Genomic DNA, 27,301 nt, shown 5'->3' on the forward strand with positions numbered 1-27,301 from the left:
CCGACCCCATAACAGTCCCCAGAATGTGATGTTCCCCTTCCTGTGTCCATGTGTCCTCATTGTTCAATTCCCACCTATGAGTGAGAATATGTGGTGTTTGGTTTTTTGTTCTTGCGACAGTTACTGAGAATGATGATTTCCAATTTCATCCATGTCCCTAAAAAGGACATGAACTCATCATTTTTTATGGCTGCATAGTATTCCATGGTGTATATGTGCCACATTTTCTTAATCCAGTCTATCACTGTTGGACATTTGGGTTGGTTCCAAGTCTTTGCTATTGTGAATAGTGCCGCAATAAACATACATGTGCATGTGTCTTTATAGCAGCATGATTTATAGTCCTTTCTTATTTCTCTTTAAAAACTTCATTGAAATGTCTCCTCCTCTGGAAAATCTTTTATGACCCTCTCAGTTTGCTTAAATGCCCCCTCCCTACCATCAGCACCCCAAGCTCCAATTAGTATCCTCAGCAGAGTTTTCGTGAAATAATTACAAAAATGTTAACAGTTTTCCTGCATGAGTTCAGACTCTACGCCTTTTACCTCTATCCTTGTCACTGGGCATATACAATAAATATTTGTTGGATGGGTGAATAAAGAAGAAAATGTATTTCATCTTTCCTCAAGAGTATGCAGATGGCAAACATATTAGTAATGTAACTTTTTTTTAAAATGCAGGCATATTGTGTTTTATTCTATCAAGAGTTTCTAACATTTGAAAAGAATTTATCTGACACTATTGTCCTTTCCTGCATTTCTTATATGACATCCAAAGCAAGTGACATTCCAACTGTCCTAAAATCATTAAAAAGCATGTTATACAACATGCTGTCATTTTCTCTATGAAATATTATAAACTCCCAAATCCTTAACAAACTTTCAATTTTTAAAACATCACTGCTACATGTGAACAGCCCACATAGATTTTTTTCATCAGTATCAATTATCTGTAAGTTTAGTAGAGGTAATTCCAATATCCATTACTTATTCACCTCACTTTACAAAAACAGATGAAAATTACACACCTCTTTAATTTCAAAATTCAGCAGCATATTAATGATGTCTACAGACCTAATTTCTTCCACTCCAGTTGTTAAAGTATTTTTTGAATCATGTACATCTTGTGATATAGAGATTTCAAGGGGCTCTTTAATTTCACCTGAAATGTTTAAAAGAAATTCATTACTTTTATTCACAAATTTCTTCCACAAATATTTATTGTGGACTTATATGAGTATTCTGGACCTGGTAGAGGCAATGAAAATCCACGAATTAGTAACAGCGCTAGCCCTTGGAAAACTCATGGTTTAGTGGAAGAGACATATACATTTAAAATACAAACAAACAAGCAGGCCACACCTAGTCACATTAAGTGAACAAATGTTAATAGACTCTATATAAAATGCACTGCAAGCACAGAACAAAGCGTGACACTGTTATACAGAAGTCAAGAAAGGATGTATTAGAGGAGGTATTATTCAAGTAGAGCAAAGGACCTCCTCACACGGTGGAGACATTACTAGAAAGGAGCAAAACCAGGGAATGATAACACATGATAGGTTTTGCAAACAGAATGGAGTTTGATATGGTTGAATCATAAGGGGGACAACAAGAGGTAATACTACAAAAGAAAAAAGGGAGTGGGAGGTCAGGGCCTCTTATGCCATATTAATAAACAAAGGTAAAGCTATATAATTATGATGCTGTGTTTCTGAAATTCGTACACCCTGAAATGCAATAAAATTGTTTTAAACTGTAATACAAAAAATAACAACAGCTATCACTTGCTAAGTGCTCATCTGTGTGGCAGACACTGTTCTAAGGTCTGTATATGGACTGTTCTATTTAATTCTTATGACATCTCTTTGAGATAAGAACTTTATTGTCCTTATTTCAGAGATGGGCAAATTGAGGTTCAGACAGATTCAGTCCCTTGCTCAGTGTCGCACAAATGGCAGAGCCCAAATTCAGCAGTCTGATTTTACAGTCTTCACTCGCCACTGTCCCTCAATATCATTAAGTTAGTTATTACCATTATTGCGGTTGACATTATCTTGACCACTAATACAACACACAGGAACCATGTAGTGTAAGCTACACCAGAATTCCATACAGAAAGCCGCTAATGTTAATCATTACCTTTGACAAAGCATTGCATAGCGCAAGGTTTCCTAACTATCACCTTACTCCATCACTGTTCCAAACATAATGTGAACCAGGGGAAATGATTCTAGCAAATATTTTTGCTTTTATGAAACAATTCCCAGAATAGGCAAAGATTTTTCAAATGGAAAACAAAAAATACTGATCATTTAAAAAACCAGTAAATTTAAGTTGATTGAAATTAACAAATTTTATTCATTAAAAGATCCATTAAAAGACTGAAAGGCCACCAGTCAGAATATCTATTGAAAAGTCAAAAAATAACAGATGTTGGCCAGGTTGTAGAAAAAAGGGAATACTTATACACTGTAGGTAGAAATATACATTATTAGTTCAGCCACTATAGAAAGCAGTTTGGAGATTTCTCAGAGAATTTAAAACAGAACTACCTTTGACCCAGCACTCCTATTACAGGGTACATACCCAAAGAAAAATACCTCATTCTACCAAAACGACCACATGCCCTCACCTATTCATCACTGCACTATTCACAATAGCAAAGACATGGAATCAACCTAGATGCCCACTGACAGTGGACTGAATAATGAAAATGTGGTACATATACACCATGACATGCTATGCAACCACAGAAAAGAATGAAATCATGTCCTTTTCAGCAACATGGATGGAGCTGGAGGCCATCATCCTAAGTTAATTAGCTCAGCAAGAGAAAACCAAATACCACATGTTCTCACTCGTAAGTGGGAGCTAAACATTAAGTACACATGGACACAAAGATGGGAACAACAGACACTGGGGACTACTAGAGGGGAGAGGGGGGGACTGGGGGAGGGCTGAAAAACTACCTATCAGGTACTATGCTCACTACCTGGGTAATGGGATCATTTGTAGACAAAATCGCAGTGACATGCAATTTACCCATGTAACAAACCTGGACATGTACCCCCTGAATCTAAAATAAAAATTGGGAAAAAAAGAGAGTGAAAGGTAAACCACAGACAGGGAAAAGATATTTCTATACATATATGCATACAACACACACTAACCAACAAAGGGCTCATATTCAGAATTTTAAAACTACATATCAATAAGAAAAAAGGCAAACATCAAATAGTTGTATGATAGAATGGTTACATCACATAAAAGGATATCCAAATGGCCAATAACCATATGAAAAGGTGATCACCTTCACCAGTAATCAAAAAGCAAATAAAAACCGTAGTGAGATGCCACTGCCTATCTATCAGAATGCTAAATTTAAAAAGATTGGCAATGCCAAGTACTGGGGAGAATGTGAAACAACTGGAACTCTCATACATTGCTGCTAGGAAAGTAAATTGGTACAACCAGTTGGAAAACTGCTTGGTATAATTTGGCACAAGTTACTGAAGCTAAACCCAAATCTCACATATGACCCAGTAATTCTACTCCTACCTATGTATCCAAAAAAAAAGTGTATATAACTACGTCAAAGACACACAATAACATTCATAGCAATTTCATTTATGATAGCTAAAAACTGGAAACAACCTGAATGTCCATCAAAGAATGAATAAAATAAATTTTGATACATTCATATAACTGAATAGTGCACAGAAATAAAAAGAACAAACTACTCCTATGCACAACAACACGAATGAATCTCGCAAACAAAATGAAGAATAAAAGAAGCCAAACATCGAAGAGTAAATTCTGTATGATTCCATGTACACGAAATTCAAGAAGAGGCAAAACTAATCTATCTATTACAAGTTAAAATGGTAGTTACCTCTGCGTGGATTTGCAGGCAGAGTGTTGGGTACTGACTGAGAAAGGGCAAGAGGGAGGCCTTCTGGGGTGCTGAAAATGTATTATATCTTGATCATGGTGTATCCATATATGCAAAAATTCACTGAATAGTGCACCGAATATTTGTATACTTCACTGTATGTATTAAAATACAGTAAAATAGTTTTTTAATAATGAAAAATACAATGGCATACCGGTTTTCACTTAGCACATGGTCCAAAATTTTTTAATGTGATAATATACTATGTTAGAAAGGTATAGAAAAACAACCTGGTGGGAGTGCAGGGTTAGTAAAGTTCTATGGAGGGCAATCGGCAAGATCTGTCAAAATCTTAAATTAGTCTATCGAAATTATTTGCTGACCTAATTGTCAATTAGATTTACATATTTTTTAACTGGTGTTATCCTATAGAAATATACATACTTGTAAAAGTATATGTATGAGGATATTCAATGCAACATGGTAATAATGAAAGTTTAAAAACAACCAAAAATGTCTAGTGCTAGGAACTTGCTAAATAAATTATGATGCTTCAATAGAATTTAATACCAGGCAGCCACTACAAAGAATGAAGCAGATCTATACATATCTACAGATATGGAATAGACACCAAGATACACTGTTAATATTTTTTTAAAAACAGCAAAGTGAATAAACACACACATGCATGTACACATACAGGATGCTACCATTTGTTTGAAAAAAACTAAAGATTATACATTTATGTCTGTATACAACATTTTATATATATATATAGACATACACATATATTACCTTAAAAAATAAGGCTAGAACTTTTTCTTTAAGTCAAAAGGGCCATGGTAACTAATAATTTAAATTCTCTTTCCATTTTTACTGCTGTATAATCTTTTCATTATCTTTGGAAAGTGATAATTTATCAACCATTTCAATTCTTACAGATGTTTTACTACCAAGCCTTATTGAAAAATCAGATACACTATGCTACCATAACCTACTGCCAACTCAAAATGGTTTCTTCTATACATGCAATTTCAATGATTATTTCAAGAATCTACCACTGATTTGAAGTTCTTCTTTATGGCCTCCTCTCAACTCACGCAACTTAGAAAAAAGTCCAAAACTATAACTGACAACTTAGCTTAAGAGAGTCAATCATCTCCAAATATGATTTCATTCAATAGCATCTTGTTTGTTTACTCGGTAATACAAACTGCAATTTGTAAACATATATTTGTTTACTTTTTATTTGCTGATTCCCTACTAAACCATAAATAAATAGACACATATGTATATTGCCACTTACTGTCAGCCTCTTACCTGTCTCTTGTACTCTTGGTTTCACTTTATCCAAGTCTTCAGTACCCTCACAGAGATTTTCTGTTAGTATCCTAAATAAAAGATTAAGATCTTCTTGATTTAGACTAACCTGTAAAATATTATGTTAAAAAAAAAACTATATTACGTTTTAAAATGAAACAATTTTAATACAGAAAATAAATTCCCATTTGCAACACATGAGGGACAGAATAATCCTAACACTGAAAAGTTACATACAATCACAACTCACTTAAGTATTGCACTACTTATTTCATGTTAAAATTTTTATTTTCAAAGATAATAAGATGTTTATAGAAAACCAGTGTAATTTATCAGTCAGTATTGGCTCCAATGACTTGACTTATGTTTATTGAAAGTTAATTATGATCAAAGAAATCTGACCTTTTCTATTAAAGTGACAACTTTGGAAAATGCATAATTCTACTTTTTAAACAATAACAATTCCAATGAAATAAAATGGTTGTCTTCAATATAAAAAAGTAAATATTTCCCTCAATGCTATCATCATCTTAGGGCTACTTAGATATCCCTAAAAACAAAATGTACATATATAATACATGAGATATAGTATAATATGCTAATACATAATTTATATACAGATCTCTACCAATATGTATGTATAATAAATTTTAAAGTTAAGAAATCTTAACTAAAGATTAAATTCTACTGAAAATAATAATGATCTTGTTGGACAAAGTCTCACTGAAATTTCTCTTATACTATTCAGCAAAAGAGTCTACATTTCATTTGGATTTCTGCTAAAAGTCTTTGGAGTTTAAAATTTCAACAATGAAGTTTTTTCTTCACTCATATACTTACATTCATTGAATCAAGATGTCCTTTAATTTCCACAACAGGCACCTTGTGGTACCAAGATGCAGCTAGATTCCGATTTACAAGAAATTCCAAGTTAATTGGGTGCAACAGCTGAATATCAGGATGGTAGATGCCTGGCTGGATCACTGTCCTACGAAAAACAGAAATGTTACATAATGCATAGATATAGGGTAGAAATGCAACATATTAAAAAAAAGCAAAGTCAAGCAGTTATTTGCTGCTCTAAATACTGATCTGAAACAGTGTGGCTTGAGTATTTTCAAAACTGAACCTATAATTAATCTATAATCCACTAGAAGGGACAAATTAAAAGGTGATATACAATGAACCATTAAGAAAACTTTTTTCTTTAAACAGTAGATAGGTGAAAAATTGAATAAGTTTTTAAAAGCAATCCACACCATTGAAGAAATACAGAAAATCATCATATACAGTTGTTCAAGGATTAATAGGTATGTTGGTGCAGAGACTGAAGAAAATGATGGCAAAGTGAACAAGAGGAGTTAGCATTTTCCAAGGCATTTCATAAAGGTTTTCTCTAGGATTATTTTCTAGACTTGCCTTGTAGTCATTAATTTTTTATTCTACATAATTAAATCTTCATGGATGGGGTAGAAAATAATTTTAAAATGAATTATGTACAGATTTCATGTGCCACCTGGTATGAGCACTGAAGATACAAAATAATTTACACAACATGCCTGCCAAAAATGTGTAAGTTCAATCAAACCATGAGGAATCACTCAGACACAACCAAATTGAGAGGTGAGTGGAACCGGACTGTAGTCTTCAAAACTACAGTAGTAGTCATGTAGTCATAAAAAGACAAAGAAAAGCTGAAGAACTACTCCAAAATAAATTTCTGTCAGTACAGAAATCTTCCTCAATAGTACAGAATACAATTATACGCTATGGGTGATCCTGAATCAGGGAGAAATTTTTATAATGGACATTCCTATAATGCGAATTATTATAATGGGACAACTGGTAAAATCTGAATATTGACTGAATTTCAGATTATAGTATTACATCGATATTAAATTTCTAGAATTATATCATAGTTAATATAAGAGAATGAATGTCCTTGTTTATAGGAGACATATGATAAAGTATTTAGGGACAAAAAGTTAAAGATGTCTATTCTCAAATGATTTAGCAAAAAATGTTTTAAATAATATGTATATGTTTATAGATAGGTTAAAGCAAATATAAACAACTGGTGAATCTAGATGAAGGATATGTAGGTGCATTCACAGTACTATTTTTTTCCATTTTTCTGTAGGTCTGAAATTTTTTAAAACAAAAGTTGATTAAAAAACTGTTCTGGTGGCCTGGTGCGATGGCTCATGCCTGTAATCTCAGCACTTTGGGAGGCCAAGATGGGCAGAACACCTGATATCAGGAGTTTGAGACTAGCCTGGCCAACATGGTGAAACCCCATCTCTATAACGAAAAATACAAAAAAATTAGCCAGGCATGATGGCACGTGCCTATAGTCCCAGTTACTCAGGAGGCTGAGGCAGGAGAATCACTTGAATCCAGGATGCAGAAGTTGCAGTGAGCCAAGACTGCACCATTGCACTCCAGCCTGGGCGACAGAGCAAGACTTCATCTCAAAACACAAAATAAAAAACTCTTCTGGGCCAGGCGCGGTGGCTCACACCTGTAATCCCAGCACTTTGGGGGTCCAAAGCAGGTGGATCACCTGAGGTGAGGAGTTTGAGACCAGCCTGGCCAACATGGTGAAACCCCATTTCTATTAAAAATACAAAAAAAATTAGCCAGGCATGGTAGCACATGTCTATAGTCCCAGCTACTCGGGAGGCTGAGGCAGGAGGATTGCTTGAACCCAGGAGGCAGAGGTTGCAGTGAGCCGAGATCACGCCACTGCACTCCATCCTGGGTGACAGACCAAGACTCCAACTCAAAACACACACACACACACACACACACACACACACACACACACACACACACAAAACAATGACAACAATAAAAAAAACTGTTCCGTGTAATGGAACAGTTTATTTGAATAAACTGTGTTGGGTAGGAATTTCAAGTCATAAAATTTCATGGAAATCATGAATATAATATTTAAATCCATAATTATTGAAAGAGCATACCTATAAAGTGTAAGCTTTGTTAGCTGCACATCCATTCTATCAATTACTGGAGGATTTAAGTAGTCTTCATCAGACACCAGACTGAACTGATTATGAACTCTGATTAACCCAAGATCTACCACTACTGCATTGGTGGAAATAGAAGACTGTGGGATGACTATAACCGGTGCTTTCAAATCAATATTGATGGAAACACGAAAACTCCTCTGGGCAAGATCTTTCACACTTGTGGCAGCCCTTTCTGCAGCCTGGGCAGTGGCAGCACTCAGAGACTCTTTGGCTGTCTGGAAATTATTCAGGAAGTTCTGTGGACACAAAGCATAAAAAGAGAAATTCAAAGAGAATACAGGCACATCAATAATAACACTATCTTCTTTTCATACATGTGGTAACTTTTTTTTTCCAATATTTAACTTTCCATTGAGCCCTATTTTTCTAGCAGTATTAAGAAATTACGGATAATCCATCTATAACTATGAGCTGCCTGAACTGAGCTAATGTTATATGGTTAAGGAACAGAGAAAAATTTTTTTCCAATAATTTTTATACTAAAGAATCTGGCTTCATTATATTGTAGCAAAAATAATTTGTTCTAGACAAAAATCATTAAATGATTCACTTTTCAACTGTTAAATAGGGGTTTTGATCTCTACATTCACGCATAAATATAATTAAAATAATGCCCACTCTAAAATCCAAGGTTTATAACATTTGCCATCATAATTATCACACTTTTAAAATATTTCAAAGTTGAAAAATCAATATACAAATAATTATTTTACCAGAAGTGACATAAGGAATTTATGAAGATAGACAATCTGAATACAGCCAACATTCAGAGACAGCACACCATCCACTTTGGACATGTCAGTATACAAATCCCCCTCAGTAGCATCTGGATACAAATCCAAATTAAAACGGAAAACTTCATTTCCCATTATTGACACAGCCTGAAAAACAGAGACTTGAATGTACTCTATCCGGGAAGGTAATGACAAAATAAAATCTCATTTACAAAAGGCTTTACATTTATAATCTTTATAAAAAAATTTTTCTATTGAAATATATTTCATTAATGTTTTTAAAATAAAATACATTTTACAATAGAAGCTCATATTCAGTCATTAAAGAATATTAACTATCTGTTTACAATCACCTACTTTCTTATGAACTGTCTTTGGATCAACATCTGTGACAATAATATTTTCTAGTCGGGCAAAAAGTGACTGCTTTCTTGACTGGAGAGAAAGGGAGGAATCCAGTCCTGAAAAAAAGAGTGTATTATTATAATTTCTACAGACCTACCATAAATAAGATCTTTCTTTCCATTACATTATTTTATTTTGGGGTGACTTTTTTAAATTTAGCAATGTTTCAACTCCCAATGGATAAATAAGTTGCAATATTAGAGTTTTTTGGTTTTATAAACACCAAAACCTATAAATTCATTAAACAATGATTATGTGACTTTTCAATCAGGGGAAGAAATACATCTAGTACAAATAGATTATCTCAGGATTTAAGTAAATTATCCTTTATACCTTATATCCAGTCATTTACATGGAAACTATAAAAGTTTCACAAATCAAATTCAGACTAGTAGATGCGCTGCCAGTTTGGAAAGGACAAAGGAAAAAAGCCCCTAGTTTTCTAGTTTTTAAGTTCTTAAAAAATTTCATTAAACATATTCAACATATTCTTGACCTCTACCAGGTCACAACAAGCTAGTAAAAGTAAGCCAGAGGAAAAGCTAGATGAGTTTTGGCAGCTTTTACCTAAAAGAACATAATGGGCTCATAGATATTGTCACCATTATAAGATTGCTTTTCATAAGGAAAGACAAATAAAGACAAATACATAATTATATATAAAAATCATATGAAGGTAAAAAAAAAAGATTAAAAAGTTACTAGAAAGCACGTCCACAGACCTTCACCTAAAATCTAGACTGACACTTCTCCTAGCCCATCAATAGCATTCCTACATTGACATCAGTATCCCTTTTCCACTTCCTAGATAACTCTCAGGAAGGTCCCAAACACCAGGATATGTGTAGAGGTCAATTGGGATGGTCAGATTCTGACCAATATCTATATCCCAAATAGAGGAAGCATACAATCCAATTACGTCTTTTCAGGTTTCACAGCTTAGAGCCCTTTATTTGTACATTCTTTAGCATTGCAAAGAGACAAAAAGAAGGAAAAGTTTATCTTTTCGCCAATTTTCAATGCCGTGTGAACTTTTACCTTGAATCTTGATTTCGGCGATATTGTTCTTTTCGTTGCAAACAATGACACAGAAAGCATTCAACTTGGCAAATAGCCTGAAATCAATAATGTCACTATCTCTGGAGGATACAATCGCTAAAAATAAAACAAAGCATCTGTCACATGGTGAGATTCTAGTCATCTACATTCTTTTAAGGTTTATTCGCTATATTAAGTGAACCACTGTTATGTTAAAAAAAATTATAACATTCTCCAACTCTTAAAGATTCAAACACTTTTTTTGCTTTATATATTCTGTAAAGTTTGCATTTTTAATAGTGAGATATTACTTTTATAATTTAAAAGCAAGAGAAAAAACTACAATAAATAAATAAGGACACTGAACCTCAGAAAAGTTAAATAATGTGTCTAAGGTTACATGGTTGAAGTAGCAAAATCAGGATGTGAACTGAGTTCTTCCTGATCCAAAATCTGGGCTCTTGGCCAATTAGATGCTACTCCTGAACCCTTCCCTACCTTTGTGTCTCTGAGCCTTAATTTCCTTATGTGTAAAATGGAAAGAAAGACTAACTCTTTATAAAGCCCCTTCAGGAGCCACTGAGCGGGGAGGAAGAGCTCAGTATAAATACAGATCTTCTCCCCCTATTACCTACCTAAGGGCTTCCTACACCACCACCAAAATAAGAACTAAAAGAAACATTTTTAAAAACAACAGTATTGATTACATTTGCCTTATACATCAGGTGCTCGCATATAATTTAATTTGAAGAAAAGGGGAAAATGGTATTTAAATGACTGAGTCAGATAGTCTCTAGTATTCCTCATTTAGCTTTAGAATTCTAAAACCCTTGCTAACAAAAAACAAAAATGTATGTTTCATACCTTTTGGCAGAGTTGAATTTTTTTGTTGTTTTTCAGTTGAAATTTGTACCTCCTTAGCAACACTTATGCTTTGATCATCAGATGGAATAATGGTTGTGAGGTAATTAATAGAAGCGACAAGAGCTTGTGTTTGCAGCAACAGATTTAAAGATGAAAAGGCCACCTAAAAATGTTTTAAAGAGAAAATTAGTTTTCCACAGCCAATTATAACCTGTAGTCTCCACGACAGACCCAAAAGATTCTCAGGTGGGCTTACATCATTGCTTTCCACCACTCTGAAGGAAGAGTAAAAAGTGGAAGATTCACAATCCCCTTAAAAAGGGAATATACAGAGAAAAATTACACTTATACACTTCAGGGGTACATCAGAATATTACAGTAACCTAATTACTCCATTTCCAAAGCATAATGGTTATGAAGTCTATACTCTGCTTCTCATGGCTATGCTGATATTCAACATACAGACGGCTTCTTGGATCTTCAATGGACAATTATGATTATATAAAATTATAAGTCAAAAGGCGAAATCCCAGAACCACCATGTGCTACTACTATGTCTAGAAATGACTTCAAAGGTGGCATCCGTGAAATTTAAATATAAAAAGGACAATTATGAATGGGTTACTAAGTGACCTTTTCAAATCACAATAATGGTGTTATCATTTAAAAAGAAACACAATATAGAACTTGTAGGGGAAAAGTACTACTTTTTTTAAAGCAATCACTCTAGGAAGCTAAAATAGCAATACAAATTGATTTCAAGAATGGGTAGTTTTCTAATAGCAAATTAATATAAAATAAAAAGCTCTGTTTATAAAAATGAATTTCTTTTCATTTTCTCATAACACTAAATGGATATAAAAACAATAAAAGGTTCACAATATTAAAACAGATTTCCCCATCTCTCAAAAAAGTGTGAGCTAAAACTCGCCTCTCTCCTTTTCTTTTTAGTTACCCATAAGTACATTTTGCCCCTCTTACTCTAAGCTACTACGTAAGTAGTGCTTTGACTTCAAAAGTGCTCAACATGTCTCCTTATATTTTATACACTTTTTCACCTGTACATCAAACAATGGTATCTAGTTTGGCTAGTTTAGAAACCTTTTAGTTCTTTGTACATCAAAGTTCTTTTGTCTACAGCATTCCCTAATTTAGAAATAATACTGAAACTTTTAAGGACGCTAGGATGTGATATAACAAAACAGCTTTACTAAGCTGAATCATAAACACAGAGCATGGTAAGTATCGATGAGGTTATTTATAACTCTTATTGGTCCTTGATTATGTCATCAAATTACCTAGTCAATACTCCTCAAAGGATACTAGAGGCTTTGAGACTAGGTTATTTTCAAACAGGATAAATTCCTTTAACAGAATTTCTTACCTTAACTGTTTGTTCAGTTTTTCCAAAAGCAGTTTGAAAACTAGGTCCATTCTTATCAGCCTGAAAAAAGAAGTAAAAGTTCTAAAGAAGGTACTAGGATCGAAGTAAATAAATCACTTATTTATTATCTCTGGTTAATTTATTTATAGTTATAAATGTATTTTATATACACTGTATATTTAATTTTATTGCCATTATTTTAAATTTACATCCAAATAATGTATTTATTATAATAGTGCAAATGTGTTCTCCTCTTCAAACATGGGAGAATATTCATTTCTGGGAAACTGTAGCTAAGAATCAGAATGACAAACTCTGAAGGTTGTAAGGTGTCACAGTCACGTAGCCCATCTATCCCCTAATGCTTAAATCCCTCCATAAAGTCGTCAGCAAGTCTACATTTTTTTATATCTCCAGTAAAAGAAACCTTGTTTCTTTACAAAACTAATCTTTAGAAAGCTTTTATTTAATGAGGTCTTCACATTGAGTCAAAAATCTGTCTCCCATCATAACTAACCATTGGTCCTAGTTCTTTCTATCCCTTGGGAACATAAACAAATTCAAACTCAAAGATTTACCTCCTGTGAGAAGTCTTCTGGCCTTGCCAATTTCCCTGCCCCTCTGTTCCAATAATGCTTTGTGCTTTTCTTTATTAGGGAATCAATCACATTATATTCTAATCATTATTTACTTGTGTTATCTCCCTACTCGTCTACAATTTTCTTGAGAACAGGGAATGTTTTTCATTTCTGTATCCCAAGCGCCTAACAGTACAGACATCCAAAAACACATCCAGAAGTATTCAATAAATAGCTGCTGACTGATTAAACAAATCGATTCATCTTGAAGGCAGCTAAATACCATCAGTTCCTTCAGTGTTTCTCATACGAAATATTTTCGTGGCCCTTCCTATTCATGGCATTTGTCTTCTGAACCCAATTTAATATGACTTTATCCTTTTTGATGCAGGATACTCAGCCAAATGTCACCTATATATGACCTATAATCAGTACAGGTATGTGGGTATGCCCTAGAAGACAAATGGTACCTACTTCATCCCAGGCTTCCATCTCTGGGAACAAGAAGTTTAGTGACTTTGTATAATAATAGCCCCGTACTTAAGTGAAAGAAAAGAAGGTGTACAAATGAAAAAAGAAACAGATTTCCCTCTAATTAGAAACTGTGATACACATCCAGAGCCATTAGTAACTTACTGTCATATTCTTCCTTCCAGAGAAATAGTTTGGAGTAAACAATAAATATATAATCATTCTATAGCCCTTACCTTAATATACTCCACTTTCAAAAGATCTAATCCAGGTTTGTCAGAAGAGCTAATCAAGTGAAGGGGCTTCCTTTTGGATCCTAGATTAAAGAAAAAGGAAAAAAAAGTGTTTCAAATAAATTGCTCTTTTGTAATTTGAAACATTTTAGATTTTTAAAAATTTGTTAATTAAGCTTTAAAAGAAAATCTTTGCATATTGTCATAGCTATTAAATACAAAGGCCATCACTGTTGAAGAAATTAACCAATCCAAATTGTTACCTCTGACATCCAACTTACTTAAAAACATGCATATTTATTTTCACCTGATTTCACAGGTGACTTCTAAAATTCTGACAAATAATTTATTTTACTTCTATTAAAGAAATTTAAATAATTTCCTTTTGTTTAAACTGTGAGAGGTGACTTAAAAGAGGAAAGCTTTGTTTTTGTTTTTTTTCCTTAAGAGAGAACTGTTAAACTCCTTTTTAACTTAAAAACAACAGGTACTACCAGATGTCCTTTATATCCTGAGGTAGATGTACCAAGGAACTGCCTCCAAAAGCTGTGGAAGGAGAAGTAATTTGTCCACCATTTTATCCATCTTTTGTTATTTGCAATTCTTTTAACTCTTGCTTCTGAGAGAGCTTAAAATTTTCCCTTGACTTCCAAGGGCATAACCTTCACTAAAGGAAAAAATAGCCTAGAAAAATTATTATTTATATTTTTCCCTCAAGACAATAATGTAAACCTTATCTTAACACAGGTCCTATAGAAATTACTAACACATAAAATATTTTTCTTCTAAATTGAGATTTGTTTTAGTTTCAACTATTAAAAAGTTATAAAACATAGGTCTTTATACAGTCAGTGTTCTGTAACCAAGGATTCCAACCCATAGTATAAACCAACTTCAGATTGAAATATTAAAAAAAATTAAAAACAATAAAAAATTAAAAATACAAAAATTTTTAAAATCAACATGGTGTAACAACTCTTTTACATTTACAATGTATTAGGTATTAGAAGTAATCTAGAGATTTAAAGTATATGGAAGGCTATGCATAGGTTATATGAAAATACAATGCCATTTTATATAAGGAACTTGAGCACCATGGATTTTGGTACCCACAGAAGTCCCAGAATCAATGCCCCACAGGTACCAAGGGACGACTGCATTTGACTAAAGCATTAGGGAAATATTAGGGAATTTTAATTACTGTAGATTTGTCCATTCCTACATGCCTCAAATACCTGAGCAAACAATATATACACTGAAATGAATAAACAATCAGAGTTTCTGAAAGAACTAACTTTACATCCTATCATTTTTATTTTTATAACCTGGTGTTTCTTGTGGTATATGACAATCAGAGTTTCTGAAAGAACTAACTTTACATCCTATCATTTTTATTTTTATAATCTGGTGTTTCTTGTGGTATATGAATACTATTTAATAGAAAGAACAAGGCCTTCAATAACATATGATCAGAGATAAACTCTTAAGTTTTGTCATTCATTAAATACAGGATATTCAGTAAGCCACTTAATCTTTATTTAGCCTTTGTTTATAAAACAGGAATAATATTCCCCATATCAAGGGGATTTTTAGAGACTCTCTGAGGCAAAAGGTAATATTAATTAAGAGCACAGACCCTAGGGCCACATTTCCAGGGTTTTAATCATGGTTCAGTCAATTACTAGCCCTGTGACAATTAGTAAATTATATTAATACAATCAGTCTGTGACTTAGTTTACTTACATTTAAACCATAGATTATAACACTGCCTACCCCATAGCACTGCTATAAGGATTAAATGAGTTATTACTTGTAAAGTGCTTACAACAGTGTAGCTATTATTTATTATAAATACAATATAAATGAAAGTGTTTCAGATACTCAAAAGTCCTATCTTTATTATAGGCTATTATTTCTATTTTTATGGGTATTACCTTCAATTTCATGATAATCCAAGCTGATTTTCTTTAAATAAGATACCACAGTTAAGTCAAATGTTCTCATTGTGGCCTCTGTTCCTAACTGAGTAACATTAAATACTAGAATTGTATCTTCTTCTTTCTGCTGTTTAGTAAATTCCAAAATCACCTAAAAGAATTAGAGTCAATGAAAAGTTGATAAGAAGTCTGAATCATACTTAAAATAATGAAAACAAAATCTTTCTCCATACACATCACCATGAGAATAGTAACTTTGCTCATATCCTTCTGCCACCATAGCAATTTAATATAATTGGAAATTACAAAACTTAAATTCTATTGTTGAGAATATAAATACATTTATAAAAAAATCATGACAGAATTTAACTTCATTGTTTACTTTTTCTAATTTAGTAAAATAGGAATGTATAGATTCTTCCTAAATATGATTTTCTTAAACCTGTATTTCAAAGCAAAAATCATGTTTAGTAATTTTTTTTAAAGTATCCCCATTAAAGTAGAAAGTAAGACAAGATGTTCTCTATCATACTACTATTTAAGTTAACTCTGGAAATTATAGCCTGTATATTTAGCCAATAAAAAATAAAACGTGGTAATTTTTAAAAGATGTAAGTGCTTTTGATATTCTAATCAAAAGGTGTAGATCTTTGTCTCCACCCTTTGAATATGGGCAGGCTTGTGAATGCTTAAATCAATATAGTAGAAAGGAACTGATACTATAAGGACTTCCGGTGTCATAAAAGACCACGAAACTCCTACCTGGGAACACTCATACTGGGGGAAGCCAGCCACCATGTAAAAAGTTCAACTACTCAGACTACCACGGCTTTTACCATGCTGAGAGGCCATAAGTAGGTGTTTCAGTCAATAGTCCCAGCTAGCTCCCAGCCAATAGCCAGTATCAATTGCAAGCCTCATAAGTGAGCCACATGGACATCCAGCTTGAGGCTTCAGATGACTGCAACCCCAGTCAACATCAGAATGCAACCGAATGAAAGACTATGCACAAAATTACCCAGGTGAGCCCTTCCAAACTTCCTAACCCACAAACCTGTAAGCAAAATAAAATAGTTGTTTTAAGCTATTTAACTTGATAGGCAGCAATAATAACCAGAATAATATAAATACTGAAAAAAGGCAAAAAATATTATTATTAGCAGATGTTATAATTACATACTTAGGTAACACTTTAAAAATACTTAAAGAAGAGGCCAAGTGCGGTGGCTCATGCCTGTAATCCCAGCACTTTGGGAGGCCAAGGCAGGCGGATCACTTGAGCCCGAGAGTTCAAGACCAGCCTGGGCAACATAGTAAAACCGAATCTCCACAAAAAATGTAAAACATTAGCTGGGTGTGGTGGTATGTGCCTGTAATCTCAGCCTCTTGGGAGGCTGGGGTATTCTGTTATAGTAACAGAAAACAAATTAAGACATTCTTTATCACCATGAAGTTTACATTCTAGGGAAAGTTGGAGAAAATGAAGGTTGCTGTCTTGTCTTGGGTGGTCAGATCTTTCCAATAAGATGACAATTGAACAAATACCTGAAGTTAGTTTAAAAAAAAAAAAAAAAAAAAAATCAAGCCATGCAGGAAAAGAGTGTTCCAGGCAAAGGAAATAGCAAGCACAAAGAATGTGCTTTGGTATACAGAAGGAAAAACATAAGACAAGTGTAAGCTCCATGCGGCAAGAACTTAACTCACTGCTATTTTCCAGTACCTAAAATAATGTCTGGTAATAATGGCACATGATCAATACCTATTGAAGGGATAGATGGAATATGGCTGAAGCAGAGTGAGCAAGGCAGGAAAGAACTGGCCAGTCATATGAGGTGTTACAAATGTAAGGCCTTGTAGGCCATGGAAAGGACTTAGTCCTTTACTTTTAGTGACATTTGAAGTCAGTGGAGGATACTGAGCAGAGTAGTAACATGATCTGACATTCCCTTTTATTTTTATTTTACTTTATTTTATTTTAGAGACAAAGTCTTGCTCTGTCACCTAGGCTGGAGTGCAGTGGTGCACTCTCAGCTCACTGCAACCTTTACCTCCCAGGTTCAAGCAATTCTCCTGCCTCAGCCTCCCGAGCAGCTGGGATTACAGGTGCCCACCACCACGCCTAGCTAATTTTGTATTTTTAGTAGAGATGGGGTTTCACCGTGTTGCCCAGGCTGGTCTTGAACTCCTGACCTCAGATGATCCACCCACCTCGGGCTCCCAAAGTGCTGGGATTACAGGCGTGAGCCACCATGCCCGGCCTGACATTCACTCTTAAAGGATCAATCTGGCAAATGACAGAACAGAGTACCTGATGGAAGCAAAGACAGTTAAGAGGCTATTGCAAAATAATCCAGGGAAGAAGATTACAGTGACTTAGACAGTACAGTAGCAGCAGAAAGGAAGAGCAATCATCTGAATGCATTTTGAATTTAGGGTCATGGGATTTAATGATATTTTGGATGTAGTATGGAGAAAGAGAGAAGTTGAAGAAGGCTAACAGTAAAGAACATACCTTTCTCTAAACAAATACCAATAGTACTTAGGTGTGTACACACAGTTAAAATGTAGTATTTCTGACATTATATTTTAGGACATGCTCTCACTATGGCACATGAAACAGTCAATAAGGAACACCTCCATTTTCTATCCTTTTTGTTTTATTATCAAAGCAAGACAAATTTTTTATAGAAATCTGGAATACATGTAAAAGTAAGCAGGCATGTATAAAAACCTGTAATCTCACCACCCAGAGATGAACACTGTCTGTCATTTATCAAAGAAAACATATAAATATAACTTCATATGGAATCATAATATCTTTGGTATTATAATCTTTTTGTTTTCCCAAATAATGACATACCGTGAACATCTCTCCATGTTTCCTTTTACCACATGACTTTTAAAGGCTGTAAACGTATGTTGGAAATTTAGGTTGTTTACATTTTTCCAAATCATAAACATGATAATGAGCAATATTATTTAGCTTAAAAGTGAAAAGTTTAAAAAATTAAAGTAGGCATGTCATAAAAATTTTCTGCAGAAAAGTAAGTTCTAATTAAAAGTCTAAGCTCTTCCAGAATAAATTAGATATGCCACAGATCATTCTTACATCAGTTTTTTTAAAAGCATTTCATTGTTAAAAATCTCTGTGTGTGTGAGAGAGAAAGAGTGTGTGTGAGAGTGTGTATGTGCATGTGTGTTGGGCAGCAGGAAAGACAGAGTACCACATTTTTAATATACTTGACATTTGGGTCTAGCTTGAGGATAGCTTACAAGATAGTGACAGCCAGAATATATCTATTTATAGACAAAAAAGCACATACTTCTTTAATTTCAAACTTGAGTAGAAGATTGATGAGCTCCTCATTTGGGACCTCTGCAGCTTTTTTAAGTTCTGATCCTTTCATACTTTTACAAGTCTGTGGTTCTCCATCTTCAGCATCAAAATACTCATCATCAGACTCTAAAGGAAAAAGACATTTATTTGATCTGAGACAATGTACATTGAAAACTGCATGAAACACTCAAATCTAAATCTCTAAAAAGTGAAATTCATTTATTAGATATAATCTTCATATTCAGCATCAGAATAGCTGCCTTTTTTAAACTTCTACCAAGTGACTCAACCTGCCATGTAATAATCACATTTGAAATCAAATAGCACTATGTTCTTTTCTTCAATGGTTCTGTTTTTCCCTATAGTTCATTCACTCAATATTCAACAAAATATTTATTGGGCATTATCTACCACGTATCAGGCTGTGCCAGCCAGTAAGGATACCAGAATGACCACGATAGACATGGTCCTGTCCTGATGAAGCTTACATTCTAGTTCAAAATTAAAACAGATCAATTAGGTCAAAGTTAGAGAAAAGCTCATGTAGAGATTGGGGCCAAAAAAAGTAGTTTATTTAGAATCTTAAGTAAGCATTGTCAACTACAAAAAAAAACCCTTCATTTGTCCAACGAAGACAGAAACTTGGGCTTAAAGGGGATAAGAGACTCAGAGTCACACTAATGTAGCACAACTAGAACTAAAACCAGTAAATTACTACAGCACTTTCAGACTGCCCTTATTTTCTGAAAATGTTATCTCTGTATAACAATGTATAGGCTTAATTTAATAGAGAAAGAGTATTTTACTTTCCTTACCTGATTCCACAGTGTCTAGCAATAGTGAAGTACCAAGTAGACCTTTTGTACCACCTGAAATAATAGGAATTGAGGATACCTAGCAAAGAATACAAAAAGTTTTCTTAAAAAGGATGACTTAGCAGGATTAAATGTCATAAATGAGAGGAAGACTAAAAAGTAATAGAGGATAAAGAGATATGGAAAGACACATACACACAATATAACACAATATACAAATCTTCCAACAAGATATATTGTGTAATCAACTAATAATTGGCTAGAATTTACAAATTATTAAGTCTACCACCCACATCTACAAGGGCAAAACTAAGCCCAGCTCTAGTAAGTTAGTCTATTATTACTGTATATCATTTACATTCTGTCTATTACAATATTAAAGTACATCTTTTTTATAGGTCCTTGGCACAGGGTATCATCATGAGCTGGCTTTATCAAATTTCATTTCAAAGTAGAAATCCAACATTTCTACTGTGTAAAGCCTTGGCACATGGTATCACCATGAGCTGGCTTTATCAAATTTCATTTCAAAGTAGATATCCAAAATTTCTACTGTGTAAAGATCAATTTCAATTAAAGTGATCTAGAACTTATAAGCCTAACATATAAGAAAATTTTATATCAATTGTTTTATTTGCAAGATTCTAAAGAAGGTTTTTGTTAGTTTTTTTCCCCTCTAGCTTTATTTAAAACACATTATAAATTTGAAAGACATTTTACTTTCATTTCTGTACTTTTGGTCCTTTCACTTATAAACCTTGCCCTGAAACTGACTTTTCATCACTGCTCTAAAACAATAAAAATAGGGTTATACATTTTATTGTATCTATTTACCTGTCTCTCTGGAGACTGGGCTGATGATTTCTGTGGCAAAGGTATACTGTTCATCAAATATAGCACATCTTTCATCTTCTGGTCAGAAATTCTCACATGCATCAAAGGAAGTCCTCCTGACACTTTAAATCTAAAAATACAATTCAGTGGTTTTAAGTCAGCATCTCTACATTACAAACGAGGGAAAGAATTGCATTAATGTAATTAGATTAAAACATGCCTAAACTTTTGACATGTTTTAATCTAATTACACTAATGCCTCATTTAGACAACATTGTCAGGAAATGGGAAGTTCTATGTTAGCTAAGTTTTCAGATAATTTCAACATATCCCTCTTAAGTAGCCAAATCTCTTTAACTTAACTAATTTTTAGGAAAATCTTTCCAAACACAATTCTCTACCTTTCAAAACCAAAACACTACTTCCTGGTATCAAAGATTCTTATTATAAACATCAAAGAGTATTTAACCTCATCACTTTCTATCCCATTGCCTTGCTTTATTTCTTTCTATATATAGCACTTGGCAGCACCTGACATATCACATTTATATTTGTTTATGTCTCCTCTGATTAAAATGTCAGCTCCATGAGGACATCTGTTTTACTCACTACGAATCACCACTGTGCTTTTATCAGTTGCTTACTTTTTGGCAGGTGCTTCTATTCTGTTTCCCTACTCAATGTAATTGCCTCAGGTTTATTTGTCTCAATAGCCTTGTGGCAGCTAGTCATAAAGCTCTTTCTAGCTGTTGTTGTTTATCTTTGGCTTCCTGACTAAGCTGTGAACAGCTCAAGCTGACAGATGCCTAATTGCTGGATGCCACACTGGGGTACAGTAAAGCACTGTAGAGAGGGAAATATAAAGCACTAAATGCCTATATTGGAAAAAAACTAAGGTCTCAAATCAGTGACCTCAGCTTCTACCTTAAGAAACTAGGACTGAAAAGCAAACGAAATCCAAAGTAAGTAAAAGAAAGAAATAATAAATATCAGAGAGGAAATCAGGAAAAAAAAGAATCAAAAGAGAGAAGATAATGGAAACCAATAGCTGGTTCTCCCAGAAGATCAACAAAATTGATAAACCTCTGATCACAGTGATCAGGAGAAAAATAGAAAAGGCACAAATTACTAACATCAGGACTAAAAGAAATAACATCACTACAGATTCTTCGTGTATTAAATAGGTAAGAGGAAAGCATTATGAACAGTTTTATGCCAATACATTCAACAACTAAGATGGACAAATTCCTTAAAACACACAAACTCAAAACACTTGGAACATACAGATCATACAGAAGAATAGATAATCTAGCCCTATATCTATGAAAAAACATGAATTTGTAGTTAAATACCTCTCAAAATGAAAACTCCAGGACCAGACGACTTTACTGGTGAATTCTACCTAGCATTTTAGGAAGAAATAATACTAGTTCTACACAGTATCTTCCAGAAAACTCAATGCATGAGGCCAACATCATTATCCTGATACCAAAACAAGAAAAGCAAAGACCAATATCCCTCACTAACACAAATATAAAACTTTGTAACAAAATTTTGGCAAAACAAGTCCAAAAATATTTTTAAAAATAATACATATGGGTTGAGTATCAGAAATGGGGCAAGAAGTATTTAAGATTTGGGAATATTTGTATTACATAATGAGATATCCTGCAGATAGGACCCAAGTCTAAACATGAAACTGATTTATGTTTCATTCATACCTTGTACACACAGTTTGAAGGTAATTTTATACAAAATTTTTAATAATTTTGTGCAAGAAACGAAGCTTGTGTTAAGAACTTATGTGCAGAATTTTCCACATGTGTCATCATGTTGACTCTCAAAAAGTTTCAAATTTTGGAGCATTTCAAATTTTTGGTCTTTGGATTAGGGATGTTCATCATTACCAAGTGAGGTTAATCGGTAATGAAAAGTTGGTTTAACATCCACCTGATAAAGGGTATCAGTGAACGACTGATACATACAACATGAATGAATCTCAAATTAATTATGCTGAATAAAGGGTATCAATAAACTGATACATACAACATGAATGAATCTTAAATTAATTATGTTGAATTAAAGATGTTAAACAAAAAAGTTAAAAGTCTAACATTCTATTTATATAAAATTCTAGAAAATTCTAACAAATCTATAGTGTCAGAAAGCAGACCAATGTTGTCCAGGGACTGGGGGAAGAGAAATTTAAGTAGGGAAGGAAAGAAAGGAATACAAAGGGGGAACAAGGACACTTTTGGAGATGGTGTGTTCATTGTCTTAACCATGATGATGGTTTCACGGCTATATAGCTAAGGCAATATTTATCAAACTGTAAACTTTAAATGGATGCAGCTTATTGAACATCAATTATATTTCAATATAGCTGTTTTTTAAAAACAGTATAAACATTTCATAACTGTCTACTTAAATTCAAAATTAATTTTCTATTTTTATGTCCTTTGATTTTTCTCAGGATTATATGGGATTTCATTATCAAAAGAGCCTCTAATGTGTTCGAAGATTTTATTTTGTTGATATTAAGCATTGGATTCGATTCATTCAAAAACATGAACCATCAACTTTTACAGAATGTAAAAGTCCAAATATTTCTGAAATAAGTGTTGATGTATAATTCAAATATACATTTTCTTAAAAATGTATTTCTGCTGCAAATTGGAATAATCATTTTTGCTGTCTCCCACAGAAATCTATCTTTGCTTCCTTAAATTCTAGCAACTGATGCAGACATATTTCACCTGTTGATTTTCTAATATAAAAGAAGTTTATACATTACCTGGCCATTCTAATGTCTTTTTCTACCATGGCCTTAGCCAACTCAACATGAATATCCATGGGTTGCAATATATGCATAGTTGATGGATGCTGAAATCGACACTTTTTCCAGGTTTCCTCTTTAAAAAATAATTTAAGATATTATTTATTATTTTTACAAACAGCCATGGAACATGGATAAATATTATTTTTAATGAATATTATTTTAAATTGTCAGACATTCTATGGAAAATCACTATAAATTAATCCAGAATCAATGATTACCAATTTTCACTTCTTTCAGCGTATCAGTTAAATAACCTATGCTTTTTAAATACAGACTGACAGGATCAAAGACTGTGATATAAAATAATTCTATTTGGAGAATGTTCACATAACATCTTGCATTTCAAAGTAAACAGGAAAAACAAAGCCCAGGATCTATTACCTCAATTCCAGAATTAGTGACTAAGGTTGATAATTACAGTGAAAAGAGGAGGAAAAACAAGAAAAAAGAAAAAGAAGTATGGGGTTCCTAAGTACAATATTTACACCCAGCTTGGCATACAATTCCAAAGCAAAGCAGAGTTTTATCAAACAAAATTTCATGACCAAAAATGTATAATAATCACTTTTCTTCAAATAAGGTCCCAAAAACAGATTTTCCAACAACTAATAGAGTTCTATGTTTATTGATGACAATGACTGAAAATCTTTTATCACTTATAATCCAATTATTCTTAAGTAAATACAAAAGAAAAGGCAGTTTTAATGGTCTGTGTAAATACTCCAAGGAATTAACAGGCTCTTAATATATGAAAAGTAAGTAGAGCATTATGTATTTACGTTTTAATAAATCTCAACACTCCTACTAGAGTATAAACTCTGCACATAGAGACTATAACTGTCCTTTCCTCTAATGACCTACCACAACGTGATACTATGATCAAGGATAATTAATAAATATGTATTGCTTCTAGAAACTAAGTAAGTCTTTAAAAAAACAAAAATATTTACGTAAGCATAGAAAAACACCAAAGCTTTTGGAAAATAATTAAGTTAATTATCTTTAATATATTAAGACTATATCTACTATTCTGTAGATACATACTTCTCAGATATCTACAAAAGTAGACAGCATAATACTAGTAATACTATTGAAATAAAGACTAGGCTAATATAGTATAATATTTGATAATGAAGGCAGCAAGGAAAATAATATTGAGTCATCCCAAAAGCGGTAAGACAGAAAAACATGAATCCACTGCAACTTCCATTTTGTGTTCTAAGCAGTTTTATAGTCACATTACAAAAACATAGGCTATGAATAGGCTTAGATTGAAATGGAGCTAGGTATCTTAAGATGACTAGCCAAATTTCCATTTCTATTTATAAATGTTGTAGTAATTTACACTGATAGTGTCCTACATGGTTTATTTAAGCAGCCAAAAGAATATGTGTGCAAAATGGTTGTCAGGGTTGATATATAGGCACACATATATACACGTATATTACACAAACTACCCATCATAATCCCAAGATCCTAAAAGCTGAATAACGGTTTACCTGCTCTTGCAAAAAGTAGTTGTACATTTTTTATTTCAACATCAAACTTGTCATATGCCTTATCCATTATTTCTTCCAGAGATGAATTAGTAGTCTTCTGTAAACCTTGATCTTTACTGTTGAGCTAAAATGAAGGACAAATTTCAATTTTTTTTTCCAAAACAGAAAAGCACATACATCAACATACTTTAGTTAGGTTTCAGTCTTGCATTTAGTTAGTTAAAACCTAACAAATTGAAAATACTGCTCTTAATGAATAAACATTTTAATTTTCAGATAATTATTTGTAAACAATATAATATTTCAGCATACATCTCTACTAAAGTTGAGAAATAGGTGTTCAGCACATTTTCATGTTTGAGCTGTCTGCCTCGAATAACTTGTCTAGATGTACAACTCCTCCTCTTCCTGGCTCTCAGGAATTATTGCCACTTAGAGTCCAGCTCCCCTGACCCCCACCCTACACCCTTCACCATTAGATAGCAGCGTTTTGTTCCTTCTCCGCACTATACCACAGGAATAAAATTAGGCCACTATAATTCAGCTCCAATTTGTACTGCCTTTTCCCCCTTCCTGGTGGAAGCAAGGATCAATTCAGGAGTATACAAGGGATCTTCAAAAAGTTGATGGAAAATGCCCATTATGAAAAAGCTATGCATGAATTTCAAAACTGTTTTGTACCAAAAGAAACTTGTACTAACTTTTTATAACATGACTGAACAGGATCTAGTTTGAGTCACTAAGAAGATTAAGGCTTCAGTTTGAAAATGGCCCCCCCATAATAGCAACATGAATTCTGCTAAAATTGAGGCAAAAACAAATACCAAATTTATGCTGAAGCTTGGGTGAAAGAATGGTGAAATCAGTAATGCTTTATGAAAAATGTATGGGAACAGTGCCCCAAAGAAATTAGCAGTTTACAAATAGATAACTAATTTTAAGAAAGGTCAAGACAATTTTGAAGATGAAGCCCACAGTGGCAGACCACATCAATTTGCGAAGAAAAACTTAATCTTGTTCATTCCCTAATTGAAGAGGACCGATGATTAACAGCAGAAACAATAGTCAACACCAGAGACATTTCAACTGATTCAGCTTACACAATTCTGACTGAAAAATTAAAGCTGAGCAAACTTTTTAATCAACAGAAGCCAAAACAAGTGCGCTCAAATCAGCTACAGACAAGGGTAGAGCTTTCAATGGAAATTTTAAAAACAAGTGTGGGATCAAGATCAGAAGCATTTCTTCAAAGAATTATAATAAGAGATGAAATATGGGCTGGGTGAGATGGCTCACGTCTGTAATCCCAGCACTTTGGGAGGCCAAGGTGAGCGGATCACTTGAGGTCAGGAGTTCGAGACCAGCCAGGCCAACATGGTGAAACCCCGTCTCTACTAAAAATACAAAAATTATCCAGGTGTGGGGGTGCGTGCCTGTAATCCCAGATACTTGTGAGGCTGAGGCAGGAAAATCACTTGAACCCAGGAGGCAAAGGTTGCAGTGAGCAGAGACTGCACCACTGCACTCCAGCCTGGGTGACAGAGCAAGACCCCATCTCAAAAAAAAAAAAAAAAAAAAAAAAAAAAAAGAGAGAGAGAGATGAAACATGGCTTTCCCAGTACCATCTTAAGGACAAATCACAATTAAAACAATGGTTACCATGATGTCAAAATGATCCAGTCAAAGCAAAAGCAGACTAGTCAAGAGCAAAGGTCATGGCAACAGTTTTTGGGGATGCTCCAGGCATTCTGCCTGTTGACTTTCTGGAGGCCCAAAGAACGATAGCATCCGCTTATTGTGAGAGTGTTCTGACAAAGTCAGCCAAAGTTTTAGCAGAAAGACACCCAGGAAAACTTCACCAGAGAGTCCTTCTTCACCACGACAATGCTTCTTCTGCTCCTTCCTCTTATCAAATGAGGGCAGTTGTATAAGATTTCCTATGAGAAATCATTAGGCGCCCAACTTACAGTCCTAATTTGGCTTCTTCTAACTTTTTTTGGTTTCCTAATCTTAAAAAAAAAAAAATCTATAAACAGTACCTATTTTTCTTCAGTTAGTAATGTAGAAAA

The 27,301-nt window shown here is 33.7% G+C and overlaps 1 protein-coding gene across 9 annotated transcripts in view; it reads right to left on the minus strand.

Annotated features, from left to right (window-relative positions):
• VPS13C (vacuolar protein sorting 13 homolog C) overlaps positions 1-27,301 on the minus strand; it is a 208,059-nt gene that overhangs the window by 101,005 nt on the left and 79,753 nt on the right. For all 9 annotated transcript variants that reach the window (XR_007064464.1, NM_017684.5, NM_020821.3 and 6 more), the window contains 16 exons: positions 25,233-25,356; positions 23,689-23,806; positions 20,895-21,024; positions 20,061-20,139; positions 19,232-19,371; positions 15,906-16,059; positions 13,975-14,054; positions 12,690-12,749; positions 11,306-11,468; positions 10,442-10,558; positions 9,356-9,459; positions 8,978-9,145; positions 8,196-8,500; positions 6,055-6,202; positions 5,215-5,323; positions 1,028-1,161 (listed from right to left, as the gene is read on the minus strand). Coding sequence is in view for 8 of the 9 variants with exons in the window: in NM_017684.5 (NP_060154.3) it covers positions 1,028-1,161; positions 5,215-5,323; positions 6,055-6,202; positions 8,196-8,500; positions 8,978-9,145; positions 9,356-9,459; positions 10,442-10,558; positions 11,306-11,468; positions 12,690-12,749; positions 13,975-14,054; positions 15,906-16,059; positions 19,232-19,371; positions 20,061-20,139; positions 20,895-21,024; positions 23,689-23,806; positions 25,233-25,356 (2,133 nt within the window). In the remaining variant the exon portion in view is untranslated. The remainder of the gene's footprint in view (positions 1-1,027; positions 1,162-5,214; positions 5,324-6,054; positions 6,203-8,195; positions 8,501-8,977; positions 9,146-9,355; positions 9,460-10,441; positions 10,559-11,305; positions 11,469-12,689; positions 12,750-13,974; positions 14,055-15,905; positions 16,060-19,231; positions 19,372-20,060; positions 20,140-20,894; positions 21,025-23,688; positions 23,807-25,232; positions 25,357-27,301) is intronic.

Source organism: Homo sapiens, chromosome 15 (genome assembly GCF_000001405.40).
Source record: "Homo sapiens chromosome 15, GRCh38.p14 Primary Assembly".
NCBI lineage: Eukaryota > Metazoa > Chordata > Mammalia > Primates > Hominidae > Homo > Homo sapiens.